General features: G+C 46.9%; 1 protein-coding gene across 1 annotated transcript in view, besides 3 other annotated features; it reads right to left on the bottom strand.

The window, feature by feature from the left end:
* Nucleotides 1-7,052, bottom strand: part of GRIPAP1 (GRIP1 associated protein 1) — a 28,542-nt gene extending 21,490 nt beyond the window's left edge. Inside the window, exons 1-5 of the mRNA NM_020137.5 lie at nucleotides 6,976-7,052; nucleotides 4,226-4,292; nucleotides 4,026-4,087; nucleotides 2,942-2,968; nucleotides 2,038-2,145 (exon numbers count right to left, since the gene is read on the bottom strand). Of these exons, the coding sequence (NP_064522.4) occupies nucleotides 2,038-2,145; nucleotides 2,942-2,968; nucleotides 4,026-4,087; nucleotides 4,226-4,292; nucleotides 6,976-7,017 (306 nt within the window). The 5' untranslated portion in view covers nucleotides 7,018-7,052. The remainder of the gene's footprint in view (nucleotides 1-2,037; nucleotides 2,146-2,941; nucleotides 2,969-4,025; nucleotides 4,088-4,225; nucleotides 4,293-6,975) is intronic.
* Nucleotides 1,805-2,099: a silencer, noted in NCBI's record as "tiled region #9113; HepG2 Repressive non-DNase unmatched - State 16:ElonW, and K562 Repressive non-DNase unmatched - State 15:Elon". NCBI's record gives its function as "represses a minimal TATA promoter and a strong SV40 promoter by Sharpr-MPRA in HepG2 and K562 cells {active_cell/tissue: HepG2 | K562}" and the evidence as "EXISTENCE:reporter gene assay evidence [ECO:0000049][PMID:27701403]".
* Nucleotides 7,061-7,170: an enhancer, noted in NCBI's record as "active region_29627". NCBI's record gives its function as "activates an Ori minimal core promoter by ATAC-STARR-seq in GM12878 lymphoblastoid cells {active_cell/tissue: GM12878}" and the evidence as "EXISTENCE:reporter gene assay evidence [ECO:0000049][PMID:35858748]".
* Nucleotides 8,443-8,943: a transcriptional cis regulatory region, noted in NCBI's record as "intergenic|chrX:48860065-48860565 region (GRCh37/hg19 assembly coordinates) targeted for CRISPR interference". NCBI's record gives its function as "negatively regulates HDAC6 gene expression in K562 cells {active_cell/tissue: K562}" and the evidence as "EXISTENCE:mutant phenotype evidence [ECO:0000015][PMID:31784727]".

Below are 17,630 nucleotides of genomic sequence, written 5' to 3' on the forward strand. Positions count from 1 at the left end.
GTAGGAAGTCTCTACGACTAGCCCAGTGCTGGCCCAGGGCAGATGCAGGGAAACAAGCTGGATTTATGGAAGAATGTCTGCCCCTGCCTCACTCTGCAAGAATCATGATACCATGGAGGCTGGAGGCAGGAAGCAGTGAGGAGTCAGTCAGTGAAGCCAGCAGTTATGTGAATACCAGGGGCTCTGAACTAGGAGCAGGACTGGGGCACTGGAATGTATTAAGTAAAGGAGTGATGTCATAAGATCTGCAGGTCAGAACAGCCTCTGTGGTGTGAACTAAGTAGAAGAAACTAGAAGTGAAGAGACCAGGGAGGCGGCTGTAGAAACAGCAGATGATAAGTGGTAGAGGCTAAGGCAAAGCAGGGCCACAGGGTGGATATAAAACTTTTTTTTTTTAAATTGAGACAGAGTCTTGCTCTGTCGCCCAGGCTGGAGTGCAGTGGTGCAATCTTGGCTCACTACAACCTCCGCCTCCCGGGTTCAAGCGATTCTCCTGCCTCAGCCTCCCGAGTAGCTGGGACTACAGGCACGTGCCACCACACCCGGCTAATTTTTTGTATTTTTAGTAGAGACGGGGTTTTACCACGTTAGCCAGGATGGTCTCCATCTCCTGACCTCATGATCTGCCTGCCTTGGCCTCCCAAAGTGCTGGGATTACAGGCCTGAGCCACCACGCCCGGCCATAAAACTTTTAAAAAGTCAAATATTTTAGAGGGAAGATGAGTTAATAGAAGGATAATATTATAACTAATGCTTCCATAGCTGATACTATGTGCAAGGCTCTGTTTTAAGTGATTTACGTACATTTATTCATTTAATCCTCACAAAAGCCCTGTGAAGAGGCAGGTACTGTTATTATCATGACTTCCATTTTAAACATTTGGGAACCAAGAACCAGGCAAGTTAAGTAACTTCCTCAAGGTTACAGTTAGTAAAAGGTAGAGCCAAGATTTTAATCTAGGCCTTCTGGTTCCAGAGTCCCTGCTGGTACCTACTACTTGCTCAACTGCCTCTCCTGGTATTGTACCTGCTTAAAGGTTATTTTCGGTTTTGTTTTTTTAAGGTCATAGGCACTATATTCTCAGATGGAGCCTTAGAAATACCATTTTTGGGCCGGGCGCGGTGGCTCACGCCTTTAATCCCAACACTTTGGGAGGCCAAGACGGGTGGATCACCTGAAGTCGGGAGTTCAGGACCAGCCTGACCAACATGGTCATTTTCTCTACTAAATGTCCTCTCCCACCCATGTCATTTTCTCTCATCTCTACTAAAAATACAAAGTTAGCCAGGCATGGTGGCATATGCCTGTACTTCCAGCTACTTGGGAGGCTGAGGCAGGAGAATCGCTTGAACCCAGGAGGCAGAGGTTGCAGTGAGCTGAGATCATGCCATTGCACTCCAGCCTGGACAATGAGAGTGAAACTCCATCTCAAAAAAATTTGCTGCCATGAGACTTTTTTCCTTAAAACACACTAAAAACATAGACAATTATCAACTGTGGATACAGAAGATAGATGAGGGAACAAAAGACAATGTCTCCAACTGCCCAGTAGATTTAGAAACAGACAGGACACTAAAATCAATGGGGAGATAGAATTAGTAGCTCCAGGATGAATTATCTGGAAGAGGTAGAACCCCAGGCTCATGTCAGATGAAGAGAAGAAAGAGAAAAGGGAAGAAGCTCGAACACTTTTCCATCCTATATTAAGCATAAGAACTCTGCCTAAAACCCCCCAACACCTTGGAGCACCACAGCATCAACCCCACATTATACACATGGAGACTTGAAGCTCAAATAAAAGGAGTGACTTGGCCAGGAACCAGGTGACCTCAGGGCTCAAAGCCTTCTAATCCCAGCAGAGTGAGCGGCCCCATCTGTCAAATTACTGCCCCCCAGCAGCAATCCAGGACCTGTTTCAGCACCACGGACAGTGCTCCAGGGCCAGACCCTGTCCAATCACTCTCTGCCGCTGTTAGGTTTCAGCCCAGATGACCCCTACCCCTCATTTCCCCTTTGACTATCCCAGGCACCAGCACCTTGCTGAACTCGGCCATTAGTGTGCTGTTCTGCAAACGGAAGTCCTCCTCCTGGCTGTGCAGCTTTGCCTGCAGCATCTCATTTTCACTCAGCAATACCTCGACTTCCTGCAGTGGCAGACAAGGGCCAGGACTCCAGCAAGGGCAAAAAGGATAGGGAGGTAGGGCAAAGAAACAGAGAGAGGGAGAAAATGACATGGGTGGGAGAGGACATAGGGTACAGAGAATGAGGTGATATAGGAGAAAGAGACATGGGGAGGGATAAAATGAGAGACAGGGAAAGGAAGATAAAGACATGGGAAGGTAGAGAGAAGGGAATACAGGGAGGAAGAGAGCGGAGGAAAAGACAGGAAGATAATGATTGGGGAGAGAGGAAGTAGAGATGGGGAAAGGGGGAGAGATAGAAAAGGGGAGAGGGATTGGGAGGGAGAGAGTGAAAAAGACGGAGAGAAGAACAAACAGAAATCAACAGGGAGAGAACAGAACAGGGAGAAGAGGAGGGGTCAGGAAAAGAAATGAGTTAGGAAGAGAGAGGAATGGGGTGGAAGAAACAAGGAGTTAGAGAGAGAAAGCAGAAAAAAGAGAAATCACCGAGACAGGAACAGGAGGGGGAGAGACAAAGAGAAGATTGGGAAGAGAAATGAGTCAGAGAGACAGGAACAGGAAAACAGACAGAGACAGAAAGAGACTCAGAGAAAAGAATGGAAAGAGAGAGAAGGAAAGAGACACAGAGTTAGGACAAATACAGGGAAACAAGGACAGATACAGCAACACATGGCAGTGAGGTAGTAGCAGATGTAAAGGCACACAAAGAAAGAAAGGCCAGTACAAGGAAATATCAGCATACAGAAATAGCCCACCAAGACATCTCCCAGTCACACTCACCCACAAGGGATCCCCTTACCTGAGCTTTCTTGCTCTTGCTCAGTGCCTAAAGTGGGGGTGGGTGGGAAGAGAGCTAAAGTGAACAGAGATGGACTGCCTTACTAGGATATGGAGACAATTGTGCCAAGCGTTTTGGGAGGACAAGGATGACAGGGGTTGCAGGATGGGAGCATCTTCAACCACAGAACATGTGTGACAATTTGGAGCCCAAAGGAATGATGGAATGAGTGTGTGAGTGAGTGAATGAATGCAAGTCTTGCCCTGGGGCCCCAGCACACATAAATCATCCTTTCTTGGAAGCTCTTGAGGCTGGTGGGGGGACAGGGGAGGTAGGGAGATGCCCTGGTATTTAACCATTTATGGGCTGGATCTCCAGACTCAGAAACTGTGGCTTCATTGCTACATCTGTCCATACATGTCTCTGTGGGTCCCTCCCACGCAGTGTGGAAACTGTCGCTCCCCTACTGGGCAGCCAAGAGCATTGCCAGCTTAGGGGAATCAGCATCCTACCAAAGAGAAGTGCAGCTTCCTGACTGTCGGATTTTCTGCATACTGTATTCGTTCATCCAACAAATATTTATTGAGCACATATTATGTATTAACATTGTGCTAGGTATGGCTAGATATGGGGACAGAGCAGTGACAAAGGAGCACCTCGAATGTCTTGAGGGGCCACAATAGGTTATATCCTATCTCATCTTTAGAGGATCTGAGAGGTGGGTTTGCTCTCATTTTCCCAACTGGACCAGGACAGAGATGGGAAGTAGGAGCACAAGGCAGGAGTGTGAGTAGAGGATGGGAGGCAGATTCGAGGTAGATTTACTGATAGATTTGAATATTTAATTAAAAGTCAGTGAATGAGAATGAGTAACTGAAATTAGAAATGAATTAAAAGTAAATTAAAATTAATCACTAAATTAAGCAGGATTAGGTAAAATTAGCAACTAAAGAGAATTCCATTGAGAATCCTTTAAATGACTACGTGAAAACAGCATGCAACATTAGGTCTGGTTCACTGTAGGTGCTCACTGGAGGGATGAATGAGTCAGATAGGTAGAAGCAAGGGTGGATGGGTAGGTGGATGGGTGGGTGGAGGGAGGTACCTTCTGAGCTTTGCTGAACTCCTTATCCAAGTAGGCGACCTTCTGTCGAAGACTGGTGAGTTCTGGTGTCGGGAAAGCAGGGAAACTCAGCCTCAGCCAGTGGCAAGAAACTGAAAGGCCTTCCTGCCAGGCCTCTGAGGGAAAACCTCGGACACCATTCCCCAAAGCCACCCCCATCTAATAAGGCCCTCCTGGCTCACCAACACCATTCTTGCGTAGTTCATCTGAAAGCTGGTAGTTGTTTGTCCGGAGTTCCAGGAGCTGAGCCTTTGGGGGAGGCAGGAAGGGAAAAGACTTGGTCAGGAAAGCGCCCCTACCCCTACCATGAGGGAACCAAGCCCCTAAGCTCCACAGACCTTACGCCCTCCATGTGCCTCTGTAGCTACTCCTTAAGACCTGTATGTGCTACACCCAAAGTGACCTTCCAGGCCCTCAGACCCTGGCTCACCTTTTCCAGCTCCACTTATAACCCCAGCCAGCCTCACCCCTCCATCTCACACTACAATCCACGCTGCACTCAGGCCATCCCAGAGCACTGCCCCCAGTCAGGGTCTTGCTTGTGTGAGTTCCCTGGCTCTCCATGCCCACAGGATAAAGTTCCTCCTCCTCATCCTGGCTGACCTCTCCACACACTGAACACACACTGTCAGGGGTGTTGTCCATATTTCTGACCAGACCTGGGGGCCTCTGATGGCAGGGGGTTAAGGGCCTGTCTTCCTCCCTCTTTCCTAAGGGAAAAGGGTCAAGTATTCTGCCCAACTTTCATTGAGTCAGGGGGCTTTCCAGGGTCCCCCCACCTCCAAGGCTCTCAAAATACATCCAGGCCCCCTTCAATAATTAAGGGAGGACCAGGTGCGGTGGCTCACACCTGTCATCCCAGCACTTTGGGAGGCCAAGGCGGGTGGGTCACGAGGTAAGGAATTCAAAATCAGCCTGCCCAATATGGTGAAACCCCGTCTCCACTAAAAATATAAAAAATTAGCCGGGTGTGGTGGCGCACACCTGTAGTCCCAGCTACTCGGGAGGCTGAGGCAGGAGAATCGCTTGAACCTGGGAGGTGGAGGTTGCAGTGAGCCGAGATTGTGCCACTGCACTCCAGCCTGGGTGACAGAGTGAGACTCTGTCTCAAAAAAAAAAAAAAAAAAAAAAAAAAAAAAGAATTAAGGGAAAGTGCCAGGCGCAGTGGCTGACACCTGTAATCCAAACACTTTCGGAGGCCAAAGTGGGCAGATCACTTGAGGTCAGGAGTTCAAGACCAGCCTGGCCAACATGGTGAAACCTCATCTCTACTAAAAATACAAAAATTAGCTGGGCGTGGTGGTACGCACCTGTAATCCCAGCTACTAGGGAAGCTGAGATAGGAGAATCACTTGAACCCGGGAGGTGGAGGTTGCAGTGAGCTGAGATCGTGCCACTGCACACTATAGCCTGGGTGACAGAGAAAGACTCTGTCTCAAAAAAAAAGAAAAAGAAAAAGAATTAAGCATCCTCCTCCCTACCAGCCCTATAGGACCCTGAGGCTGGTTCTACCCAGCAAGGCCGGTTCCTTCCCATTAAGGAACTTACTGTTCCTTCCCCTACCAGGACTTTTCCCTCCCTCCCACGCCACCAGCCTCCACTCACTGTTCTCTGGTAGTCTGCTCAAGGTCAGAGGGCTTGGCCTTCACAGAATCTTTCCTACTCCTGTCCTCTCCAGGACCCAGTGATCTGTCTCTCCAAGTACTGGTCCAAGTGGAATATCCTTTGTACCCCCCGAGACTTGCCCCCCAACAAAGCCCAGTAGTTCTCCCTCATTCATGGCCCAGTGGGATCAATGTTCCTCATTCAAGGGTATTCCCACTCCCCTCAAGATCTCCCCAGTCATGATCCATTGGGAATGGCCCTACACCCTTCAGGGTAGGCCTCTACAAGGCCTTGGGTAGGCCAGTTGGATGACTCTTACTCACTTAGAATCCCTTTCAGATGACAGTGGTCTTCCCCATTCATGGGTTAATCAACTCGCCCTTCCATTCTCAGTGTCCCTCACACAGGGACAGCTGGTTTCCCTCATTCAAGGACCAATTGGATTACCTGTCCTCCCTCAGAGTTCCTCCCCTCCCCATGCAGGACCCTGTTCAGACCCCCCCCCCAGTGAGGAACCCTCTCAACAAGGGCCCATTCATAGTGCAATGCTATGGCCTTTCATTGCATCTCAGAGTCCCCCCAAAAGAATCAAGTGGGGGTACCTCCCCAAAGCCCAGTGATCTTCCCTCCTTGTAGTCCAAGGTATCAATCTTTTACCCCTCTGGTCCTCCCCCCAGTTAATGGGATTAATGGTATTACCCATTCATGGCCTTCTTCACCCCAGGCCTAATGGGATCACCCTTAATCATCCAATGGTGCCGCCCCCTCTTAGGATGCACTACCAACCACCAATGGCACAGGATCTCCACCTCCCAGGAACAATGACAACATCTGGGGTCTTTCCCCAATCCCCGGGCACAGTGGTATCTCCCCCAAAACTTACCACCTCCCACCCGCTAATGGTTCTGCCCTCTCAAGGGCTCCCACCACCATGACGCAAACGACCCAACACCCGCTTCCTTCCTCTCCAGACAAAATGGTTTCGCCTTCTCAGGATCTCCTTCCCTCAAAGCCCATTATCATCACCCGCCGACGGTGTCCCCTGCACGGGCCCAAAAGTCTCGTCCCCTCCAGGTCTGAGTAAGGTACCGCCTACTTAATGGCGCTCTCCCAGCCCACAATGCTAACAGAGTCCAACCTTCAAAGCCGCAGAGTATCTCGGAATCCAATAGTCTCACCACTCCGAGCCTCAGTTTCCCTTCTCCAGACCCACCCCATAAACTCAGGGTCCATCCCAACCAACCCCTTCTCAGAGCTGATAGCACGACCTCTCGCTACCCCGCCCCCGGTCGCCTAGCCGGGTGGTCTTTCCCACCGCGAGCGGCACCTGCATCCGCTGAAACTCCTCCTCAGACAGAGCTTGCGCCATGTTCCTCCCCCCACCCCCCCGCCAGCTTTCTGCGCAGACGCAGCTCGCGCCTCCTGGCAGTATTAAGGTCGGACCAAACCACTGGCCAGGAATGGAGGGGGTAGAACCTAATTCCGAAGGGCAGCATTTTGGAGACGCAGAGAAGAGAACGAAACCGACGAGTCAGGTGAACTGTAATACAACGTTCTACCCGAATGTAAGTCATCTGATTGGCTTTTGGACTCTTCTAGGCCACCCATTGTGATACGACATTATTACATCCCCGTTTCATGGGTGGACTCGTCGCTAGGGAAGTCTTTGCCGACAGAAAATCACCCTTCCGCGGTATTCCTTTAATGAGAATGGGTAACTTAATAACCATAGAAATGAAAGCGGAAGCTTCGCTCTGGTCTTGTTCCCGCCCCTCCTCCGGGAGACCCCAAAGGGGAATCCCACCTCTTGTAAAGCCTTTGGCCTTTTTTTTTTTTTTTTTTTTTAAGGTTTGACACTTATTTTGTTATCATGATACTGCATGTCACGTTAGGTAAAGGACTTAGCCACCAATAAAAATAGCAGAGTGGAAAGAGTGACAGTGAATCAAACGAAAAAGCTACATTAAAACAAAACAAAAACAAAAAACAAACCAGGGTGGTGAAACACCAGGCTCATTCAAGTATTAGAATTCACTATAACCCTCACCGATCTGAGAGTAAGAAATGGTATCTCAGTGTAGTTTTTTTCTTATTTTCTTTTTTCTTTCTGTTTTTGTTGTTGTTGTTGTTGTTGTTTTTCTTTTTTGAGACGGAGTTTCACTTTTGTTGCCCAGGCTGGAGTGCAGTGGCACGATATCCGATCACAGCAACCTCCGCTTGGCGAGTTCAAGCGATTCTCCTGCCTCAGCCTCCCGAGTAGCTGGGATTACAGGCGCCCGCCACCTCGTCCGGGTAATTTTTTTTTTTTTTTTTAGTAGAGACGGGGTTTCTCCATATTGGTCAGGCCGGTCTCGAACTCCCGACCTCAGGTAGTCCGCCCGCCTCGGCCTCCCAGAGTGCTGGGATTAAGGCGTGAGCCACCGCGCCCAGCCTTCTTATTTTCGTAGAATTTAATGATTTCCCTGCTGTGGAAAAATATTTCCAGCAGGGCCGGGCGCGGTGGCTCACGCCTGTAATCCCAGCACTTTGGGAGGCCAAGGAGGGCTGTTCACTTGCGGTCAGGAGTTCGAGACTAACCTGGCCAACATGGTGAAACCCCATCTCTACTAAAAACACAAAAATTGGCCGGGTGTGGTGGTGGGCGCCTGTAATCCCAGCTACTCGGAAGGCTGAGGCACGAGAATCGCTTGAACCCGCCAGGCAGAGGTTGCGGTGAGCCGAGATCGCACCACTACACTCCAGCCTGGGGGATAGAGCGAGACTCTGTCTCCAAGAAAAGAAAGAAAAAGAAAAGTATTGCCAGCCAGGACTCTTTGATTTCTTTCTTGATTTAATTGACTTTATTGAAAGATAACGCTATTGATCTGTCTATATACATAAATGCACCCATTTTAAGGGTACAATTTAGTGAGCTTTGTCTAATGTATACAACCTTGTAACCACCATCACAAGCAAGATAGGGAACATTGATTTCTTTGTATCCTATCCCAAACCCCACCCCCTATCCCAGGTAACCAATGATTGGCTTCCTGTTACTGGATTACATTTCTCTTGCAGAGTTTCATGCAAATAGAATGAGACAGGATGTATCCTTTTCTGTCTGGCTTCTTTCACTCATCATAATCCTTTTGAGATTCATCCAAGTTGTTTCGTGTATAAGTATCTTTTTTTCTTTTTATTGACTAGTAAAATTCCATAGTATGGGCCGGGCGGGCTCAGTGGCTCACGCCTGTAATCCCAGCACTTTGGGAGGCCGAGGCAGGTGTATCACCTGAGGTCAGGAGTGCAAGACCAGCCCAGCCAGCATGGTGAAACCACATCTGTACTAAAAATACAAAAATAAGCTAGGAGTGATGGTACACGCCTGTAATCACAGCTACTCAGGAGGCTGAGGCATGAGAATCGCTTGAACCCAAGAGGTGGAGGGTGCAGTGAGCCGAGATCGTGCCACTGCACTCCAGCCTTAGCGATAGAGGGGAAAACTCTGTCTCAAAAACAAAACAAAACAAAACAAAATCCATAGTATGACTATACCACAATTTGTTTATCCATTCTCTTAGTGTAGTTTTAATTTGTGTTTCTCTTATTATGAGTGAGATTCACCACCTTGTCCTATGTTTATTTTATTTTTAATTTTTATTTATTTGTTTTTTTGAGACGGAGTTTCACTCTTGTTGCCCAGGCTGGAGTGCATTGGCGCGATCTCAGCTCACTGCAACCTCCGCCTCCCAGGTTCAAGCAATTCTCCTGCCTCAGCCTCCCAAGTAGGTGGGATTACAGGCGCCTGCCACCATGCCCGACTAATTTTTGTATTTTTAGTAGAGACAGGGTTTTACCACATTGGTCAGGCTGGTCTTGAACTCCTGACCTCAGGCGATCCACCTGCCTCGGCCTCCCAAAGTGCTGGGATTACAGGCATGAGCCACCGTGCCCGAACTTATTTTATTTCATTTTATTTTATTTTGAGACAGGGTCTTGCTCTACCGCCCACGCAGGAGTGTAGTGGCACAATCAGGGCTCACTGCTGCCTTGACTTCCTGGGCTCAAGCAATTCTCCCACCTCAGCCCCCCAAGTAGCTGGGACTACAGACATATGCCACCAAGAATCATTTTAATATCTGTTCTTATTTTATTTTTTTAATTTAATTATTATTTTTCTTTTGAGACAGAGTCTCCCTCTGTTGCCCAGGTTGGAGTGCAGTGGTGCAATCTCGGCTCACTGCAATCTCTGCCTCCCGGGTTCAAGAGATTCTCCTGCCTCAGCCTCCCAAGTAGTTGGGACTACAGGCACCCACCATCATGCCCAGCTAATTTTTGTATTTTTAGTAGAGACGGGGTTTCACCATGTTGGCCAGGTTGGTCTCAAACTCCTGACCTCAAGTTATCCTCCCGCCTCTGCCTCTCAAAGTGCTGGGGTTACAGGTGTGCACAACCGCACCTGGCCTCTTTGCATATTAGGAATATTAACAACTTTTTTGGGTGAGGGTGTACGGAGTTTTGCTCTTGTCGCCCAGGCTGGAGTGCAATGGCGTGATCTTGGCTCACCACAACCTCTGCCTCCCGGGTTCAAGCGATTCTCCTGCCTCAGCCTCACGAGTAGTTGGGATTACAGGCACCCACCACCACGTTTGTATTTTTAGTAGAAATGGGGTTTCACCATGTTGGCCAGCCTGGTCTCGATCTCCTGACCTCAGGTGATCCACCCGCCTCGGCCTCCCAAAGTGCTGGGATTAAAGACGTGAGCTAAGCTACCACACACGGCCTTTTCCTTTTCTTTTTCTTTTTTTTTTTTTTTTTGAGACAGGGTCTCGCTCTGTCATCCAGACTGGAGTGCAGTGGTGCAATCTCGGCTCACTTCAGCCTCGACCTTCTGGGCTCAACCAGTCCTCCTACCTCAGCCTCCCAAGTAGCTGGGACTACAGGCACAGGCTACCATGCCCAGCTAATTTTTTTTTAATTTTTTGTAGAAACCAAGTCTTACTATGTTGCCCAGGCTGGTCTCAAACTCCTGGGCTCAAGTGATCCACCCACATCTGCCTTCCAAAGTGCTAAGATTTCAGGGGTGAGCCACCACACTAGGCCTACTTTTGGTTTTTTTTTGTATGTGTGTGATTTTTTGAGATGAAGTCTCGCTCTGGAGTTCAGTGGCCCGATCTTGGCTTACTGCAACCTCTGCCTCCCAGGTTCTAGCGATTCTCCTACCTCAGCCTCCCAAGTTGCTGGGATTATGGGCACGTGACACCATGCCCGTCTAATTTTTGTATTTTTGGTGAGACAGGTTTCACCATGTTGGCCAGGTTGGTCTCAAACTCCTGGCTGCAAGGGATCTGCCCACCTCAGCCTCCCAAAGTGCTGGGATTACAGGCGTGAGCCACCGTGCCCGGCCCTTGCCTACATTTGTAATATATAAATTATGTTGTCACAGTCTCCATTCCATACTGGATTCCCTGACCTCCTGGTTGCTTTTTTTAAAATTTTGCATACATTAACAAACTTTTTTTATATCGTAAAGATCAATGGGTTTTGACAGAAGCATTTTAAAGTGTTCCACACATAGATTTTTTTCACATTTCTTGTTAGATTTCTTCCTAATTATTTTCTTTGATGCTATGGATGCTATTGTAAATGAGGTTTTCTCTATCATTGTATCTCTTTTTTTTTTTTCGGTAGAGACAGGATCTCACTATGTTGCCCCAGCTGGACTGCACTGGCTATTTATAGGCATGATCATGGCACACTACAGCCGTGAACTCCTGGGCTCAAGCCATCCTCCCATTTCAACTTCCCAAGTAGCTGGGACTACACATGTGAGCCACTATGCGTCTTTATATCCTCTCACTGGTTATTGTTGATATATACAAAAGCCATTGATTTCTCTATGTTAATTTTATATCCTTCCATTTTACTGAATACTTTTATTGTTAGAGTGTTTTATCATTGATTCTCTAGGGTTTACCAGGTACAAAATCATATCATCTGAAAATAGGGATATCTTTATTCTTTTCCAATCAGTCACACTGGCTGTAATTGATTTCTCTTGCCTAATTACCATTTTCCACTAACAGGAACCAGGGCCCCTTAGAGAAATAGCTGATTGCAGGGCTGGGGCAAGGAAAGTACAAGATTAGCCTGGAACATCTTGTTTTAACCACACATTGAAAGAATTTGAATTAAAAAAGAATACAAGAGTCCAAAGTGATCTAAATAAATAAATGGAGGCGAAGGGAAAACTCTTCCTCACAGAGGAATGCCAACTAATAAATGTACAAGGAATGATGGAATTAGAAAATAACTATTTGGCAACTACTACTGTAATAATTGTTTTAGGCAAGCATCATTGGCCAGGCGCAGTGGCTCACGCCTGTAATCCCAGCGGTTTGGGAGGCCGAGGCAGGTGGATCAATTGAGGTCAGAAGTTCGAGACCAGCCGGGCCAACATGGTGAAACCCCGTCTCTATTAAAAATACAAAAATTAGCCGGGCATGATGGCGGGCACCTGTAATCTCAGCTACTCGGAAGGCTGAAGAAGGAGAATCGCTTGAACCTGGAAGGCAGAGGTTGCAGTGAGCCGAGGTCGGGCCACTGCACTCCAGCCTGGGCGACAGAGCAAGACTCTCTATTAAAAAAAAAAAAAAAAAAAAAAAAAAGGCTGGGTGCTGTGGCTCACGCCTGTAATCCCAGCGCTTTGGGAGGCCAAGGCAGGCAGATCACCTGAGGTCAGGGGTTCAAGACCAGCCTGACCAACGTGGTGAAACCCGGTCTCTACTAAAAATACAAAAATTAGCCAGGTGTGGTGGGTTCAAGCGATTCTCCTGCCTCAGCCTCCTGAGTAGCTGTGATTACAGGCGCCTGCCACCATGCCCAGCTAATTTTTTCTATTTTGAGTAGAGACGGAGTTTCACTATGTTTGTCAGGCTGGTCTTGAACCCTGACCTGACCTCAGGTGATCACCCCGCCTCGGCCTCCCAAAGTGCTGGAATTACAGGCGTGAGCCACCACACCCGGCCCAGAGGGCTAATTTTTAAATTTTTTGTAGAGACGAGATCTCACTATGTTGCCCAGGCTTACTTTTTAATTATAACAAGGATTAGGGTAACTTTATAATGGAGAACACTACCTTAACCAAGTCACCTTTAGCGTCACCAGGACAGGGACAAATTGGTATTATGTGCTTTCCGACGTAATGCACTGAGAAAGACACAAGTCACCTCTGTGGTATTTCTGCCAAAAATTCATAATCTGAATCGAATCATGAGAAGCTATTAGGCAAACCCCAACTAAAGAACTCATCAAGACATCAACATCATAAAAAACAAAGATCACTTGCAGTCAGGAGTTTGAGACCAGCCTGGCCAACATGGCGAAACCTGTCTCTACCAAAAATACAAAATTTAGCCGGGCGTGGTGGCAGGCGCCTGTAATCCCAGCTACTTGGGAGGCTGAGGCAGGAGAATTGCATGAACCCAGGAGGCGGAGGTTGTAGTGAGCCAAGATCGCGACACTGCACTCCAGCCTGGGTGGCAGAGCGAGACTTTGACTCAAATAAAAAAAAAAAGAGAATGACTTTCTCTTAAATGTCTTTGGAGAACGACTTTCTCTTAAATGTCTTTGTACAGAAGAGACTGAGACTATTATCCTTAGAAAGATCTGATTGCAAGGTTAGCCCTTGACTAGCATCTGCCAATTTGGCTAGTAAACAGTTTGCTACACTGATACGAGTTGTTCATTGTGGCTGGGCACAGTCGCTCATGCCTGTAATCCCAGCACTTTGGGAGGCCGAGGCGGGTGGATCACTTGAGGTCAGGGGTTTGAGACCAGCCTGACCAACATGGTGAAACCCTGTATCTACTAAAAATACAAAAATTAGCTGGGCATCGTTGCAGTGTCCTGTAATCCCAGCTACTGGGGAAGCCGAGGTAGGACAATTGCTTGAACCCAGGAGGAGGACGTTGCAGTCAGCAGAGATTATGCCACTCTACTCCAGCCTGGGCGACAGAGCGAGACTCTGTCTCAAAAAACAAAACAAAAAAAAACAAAAAAACAAAAAACAAGAGTGGTTTATTGTGCCTAAACTGTTTGTAGAAACTATGTGGTTTATGCGGAACACCTGCATTCCCTCAGAGTCTAGGATTCTGATATGTGCTAGGTAGAGAGTACCTATGTGACCAGTCCCCACTAAAAAGCCTTGGCCACTGAGTCTCTAATGAGCTTCCCCAGTAGACAACACTTTGCACATGTTGTCACAACTCATTGCTGGAGAAATTGAGTCTTGTATGACTCCACAGGGCGACTCTTGGAAGCCTGTGCCTGGTCCTCTGGATTTCAGTCTGTTGCTCAAGGGAGGTACAGAGCATAAAGAAGCCTGTGCATGGATTTCCTGGATCCCACCTGTGTCCTTTTTTTTTTTTTTTTTTTTTTTTTTTTTGAGACAGGGTCTCACTCTGTCATCCAGGCTGGAGTGCAGTGGTGCAACCTCAGCTCACTGGAACCTCCGCCTCCTGGGTTCAAACAATTCTCCTTCATCAGTCTCCTGAGTAGCTGGCATTACAGGTGGGCGCCACCACGATGGGCTAATTATTATATTTTATTTATTTATTTATTTTTTATTATTATTATACTTTAAGTTTTAGGGTACATGTGCACAATGTGCCGGTTAGTTACATACGTATACATGTGCCATGCTGGTGTGCTGCACCCATTAACTCGTCATTTAGCATTAGGTATATCTCCTAATGCTATCCCTCCCCCCTCCCCCCACCCCACAACAGTCCCCAGAGTGTGATGTTCCCCTTCCTGTGTCCATGTGTTCTCATTGTTCAATTCCCATCTATAAGTGAGAACATGCAGTGTTTGGTTTTTTGTCCTTGCGATAGTTTACTGAGAATGATGATTTCCAATTTCATCCATGTCCCTACAAAGGACATGAACTCATCATTTTTTATGGCTGCATAGTATTCCATGGTGTATATGTGCCACATTTTCTTAATCCAGTCTATCATTGTTGGACATTTGGGTTGGTTCCAAGTCTTTGCTATTGTGAATACTGATGCAATAAACATACATGTGCATGTGTCTTCATAGCAGCATGATTTATAGTCCTTTGGGTATATACCCAGTAATGGGATGGCTGGGTCAAATGGTATTTCTGGTTCTAGATCCCTGAGGAATCGCCACACTGACTTCCACAATGGTTGAACTAGTTTACAGTCCCACCAACAGTGTAAAAGTGTTCCTATTTCTCCACATCCTCTCCAGCACCTGTTGTTTCCTGACTTTTTAATGATTGCCATTCTAACTGATGTGAGATGGTATCTCACTGTGGTTTTGGTTTGCATTTCTCTGATGGCCAGTGATGATGAGCATTTTTTCATGTGTCTTTTGGCTGCATAAATGTCTTCTTTTGAGAAGTGTCTGTTCATATCCTTTGCCCACTTTTTAATGGGGTTGTTTGTTTTTTTCTTCTAAATTTGTTTGAGTTCATTATAGATTCTGGATATTAGCCCTTTATCAGATGAGTAGGTTGCGAAAATTTTCTCCCATTTTGTAGGTTGCCTGTTCACTCTGATGGTAGTTTCTTTTGCTGTGCAGAAGCTCTTTAGTCTAATTAGATCCCATTTGTCAATTTTGGCTTTTGTTGCCATTGCTTTTGGTGTTTTAGACATGAAGCCCTTGCCCATGCCTATGTCCTGAATGGTAATGCCTAGGTTTTCTTCTAGGGTTTTTATGGTTTTAGGTCTAACGTTTAAGTCTTTAATCCATCTTGAATTAATTATTGTATAAGGTATAAGGAAGGGATCCAGTTTCAGCTTTCTACATATGGCTAGCCAGTTTTCCCAGCACCATTTATTAAATAGGGAATCCTTTCCCCATTGCTTGTTTTTCTCAGATTTGTCAAAGGTCAGATAGTTGTAGATATGTGGCGTAATTTCTGAGGGCTCTGTTCTGTTCCATTGATCTATATCTCTGTTTTGGTACCAGTACCATGCTGTTTTGGTTACTGTAGCCTTGTAGTATAGTTTGAAGTCAGGTAGCATGATGCCTCCAGCTTTGTTCTTTTGGCTTAGGATTGACTTGACAATGCAGGCTCTTTTTTGGTTCCATATGAACTTTAAAGTAGTTTTTTCCAATTCTGTGAAGAAAGTCATTGGTAGCTTGATGGGGATGGCATTGAATCTATAAATTACCTTGGGCAGTATGGCCATTTTCACAATATTGATTCTTCCTACCCATGAGCATGGAATGTTCTTCCATTTCTTTGTATCCTCTTTTATTTCATTGAGCAGTGGTTTGTAGTTCTCCTTGAAGAGGTCCTTCACGTCCCTTGTAAGTTGGATTCCTAAGTATTTTATTCTCTTTGAAGCAATTGTGAATGGGAGTTCACTCATGATTTGGCTCTCTGTCTGTTATTGGTGTATAAGAATGCTTGTGATTTTTGTACATTGATTTTGTATCCTGAGACTTTGCTGAAGTTGCTTATCAGCTTAAGGAGATTTTCGGCTGAGACAATGGGGTTTTAATTATCGTATTTTAAATAGAGATGGGGTTTCACAATGTTGGCCAGGCGATGGTGTCAAACTCCTGACCTCAAGTGATCTGCCTACCTCAGCCTCCCAAAGTGCTGGGATTACAGGCATGAGCCACCAGGCCCAGCCAACTTTTTTTTTTTTTTTTTTTTTTTTGAGACAGAGTTTTGCTCATATTGCCCAGTCTGGAGTACAGTGGCGAGATCTCAGCTCACTGCCACTTCTGCCTCCCGGGTTCAAGCAATTCTCCTGCCTCAGCCTCCCAAATAGCTGGGATTACAGGCATGCACCATCATGCCTGGCTAATTTTTGTATTTTTAGTAGAGATGGGGTTTCACCATGTTGGTCAGGCTGGTCTCCAACTCCTGACCTCAGGTGATCCACCTGCCTCAGCCTCCGAAAGTGCTTGGATTACAAGCGTGATCCACTGTGCCCAGACTTTTCATTAATTTATTTATTTTTGAGATGGAGTTTGGCTCTCATTGCCCAGGCTGGAGTGCAATGGTGCGATCTCTTCTCACTGCAACCTCCACCTCCCCAGTTCAAACTATTCTCCTGCCTCAGCCTCCCAAGTAGCTGGATTACAGACATGCGCCACCACACCTGGCTATTTTTTTTTTTGAGATGGAGTTTTGCTCTTGTCACCCAGGATGGAGTGCAATAGCGTGATCTCAGCTCACTGCAACCTCCACCTCCCGGGTTCAAGTGATTCTCCTACCTCAGCCTCCCTAGTAGTTGGGATTACAGGTGCCTGCCACCAAGCCTGGCTAATTTAAAATTTTTTTTTTTTATTTTTAGTAGAGATGAGGTTTTGTCACGTTGGCCAGGCTGGTCTTGAACTCCCGACCTCAGGTGATCCACCTGCCTCGGTCTCCCAAGTGCTGGGATTACAGCCATGAGCCACTGCATCCAGCCTTTCAGCCTTTTCGAGATAGTGTCTCAACTCTAGTCTCCCAGGCTAGAGTGTAGTTGCATGAACACGGCTCATTACAGCCTTGACCTCCTGGGCTCAAGTGATCCTCCCACCTCAGCCTCCTGAGTAACTGGGACCACAGGCACCTACCACCAGGCCCAACTAATTTTTGTATGTTTTGTAGATGCGCCCACCACCACACCCAACTAATTTTTGTATGTTTTGTAGAGATGGTTTTTGCCATATTGCCTAGGCTGGTCTTGAACTCCTGAGCTCAAGCAATCAGCCTGCCTCAGCCTCCCAAAGTGCTAGAATTACAGGCATGAGCCACCGGGCCAGCTGCAACTATTCTATTAATCCGAAATTATTTCAAGACATAATTTAAAATGGAAAAACCGGCTGGGCGCGGTGGCTCACACCTGTAATCCCAACACTTTGGGAGGCCGAGGTGGGTGGATCACTTGAGACCAGGAGTTTGAGACCAGCCAGGGCAACGTGGTGAAACCCCCTCTCTACTAAAGATACAAAAATTAGTCGGGCTCGGTG

This window comes from Homo sapiens, chromosome X (assembly GCF_000001405.40).
Source record: "Homo sapiens chromosome X, GRCh38.p14 Primary Assembly".
In the NCBI taxonomy this organism is placed as follows: Eukaryota; Metazoa; Chordata; class Mammalia; order Primates; family Hominidae; genus Homo; species Homo sapiens.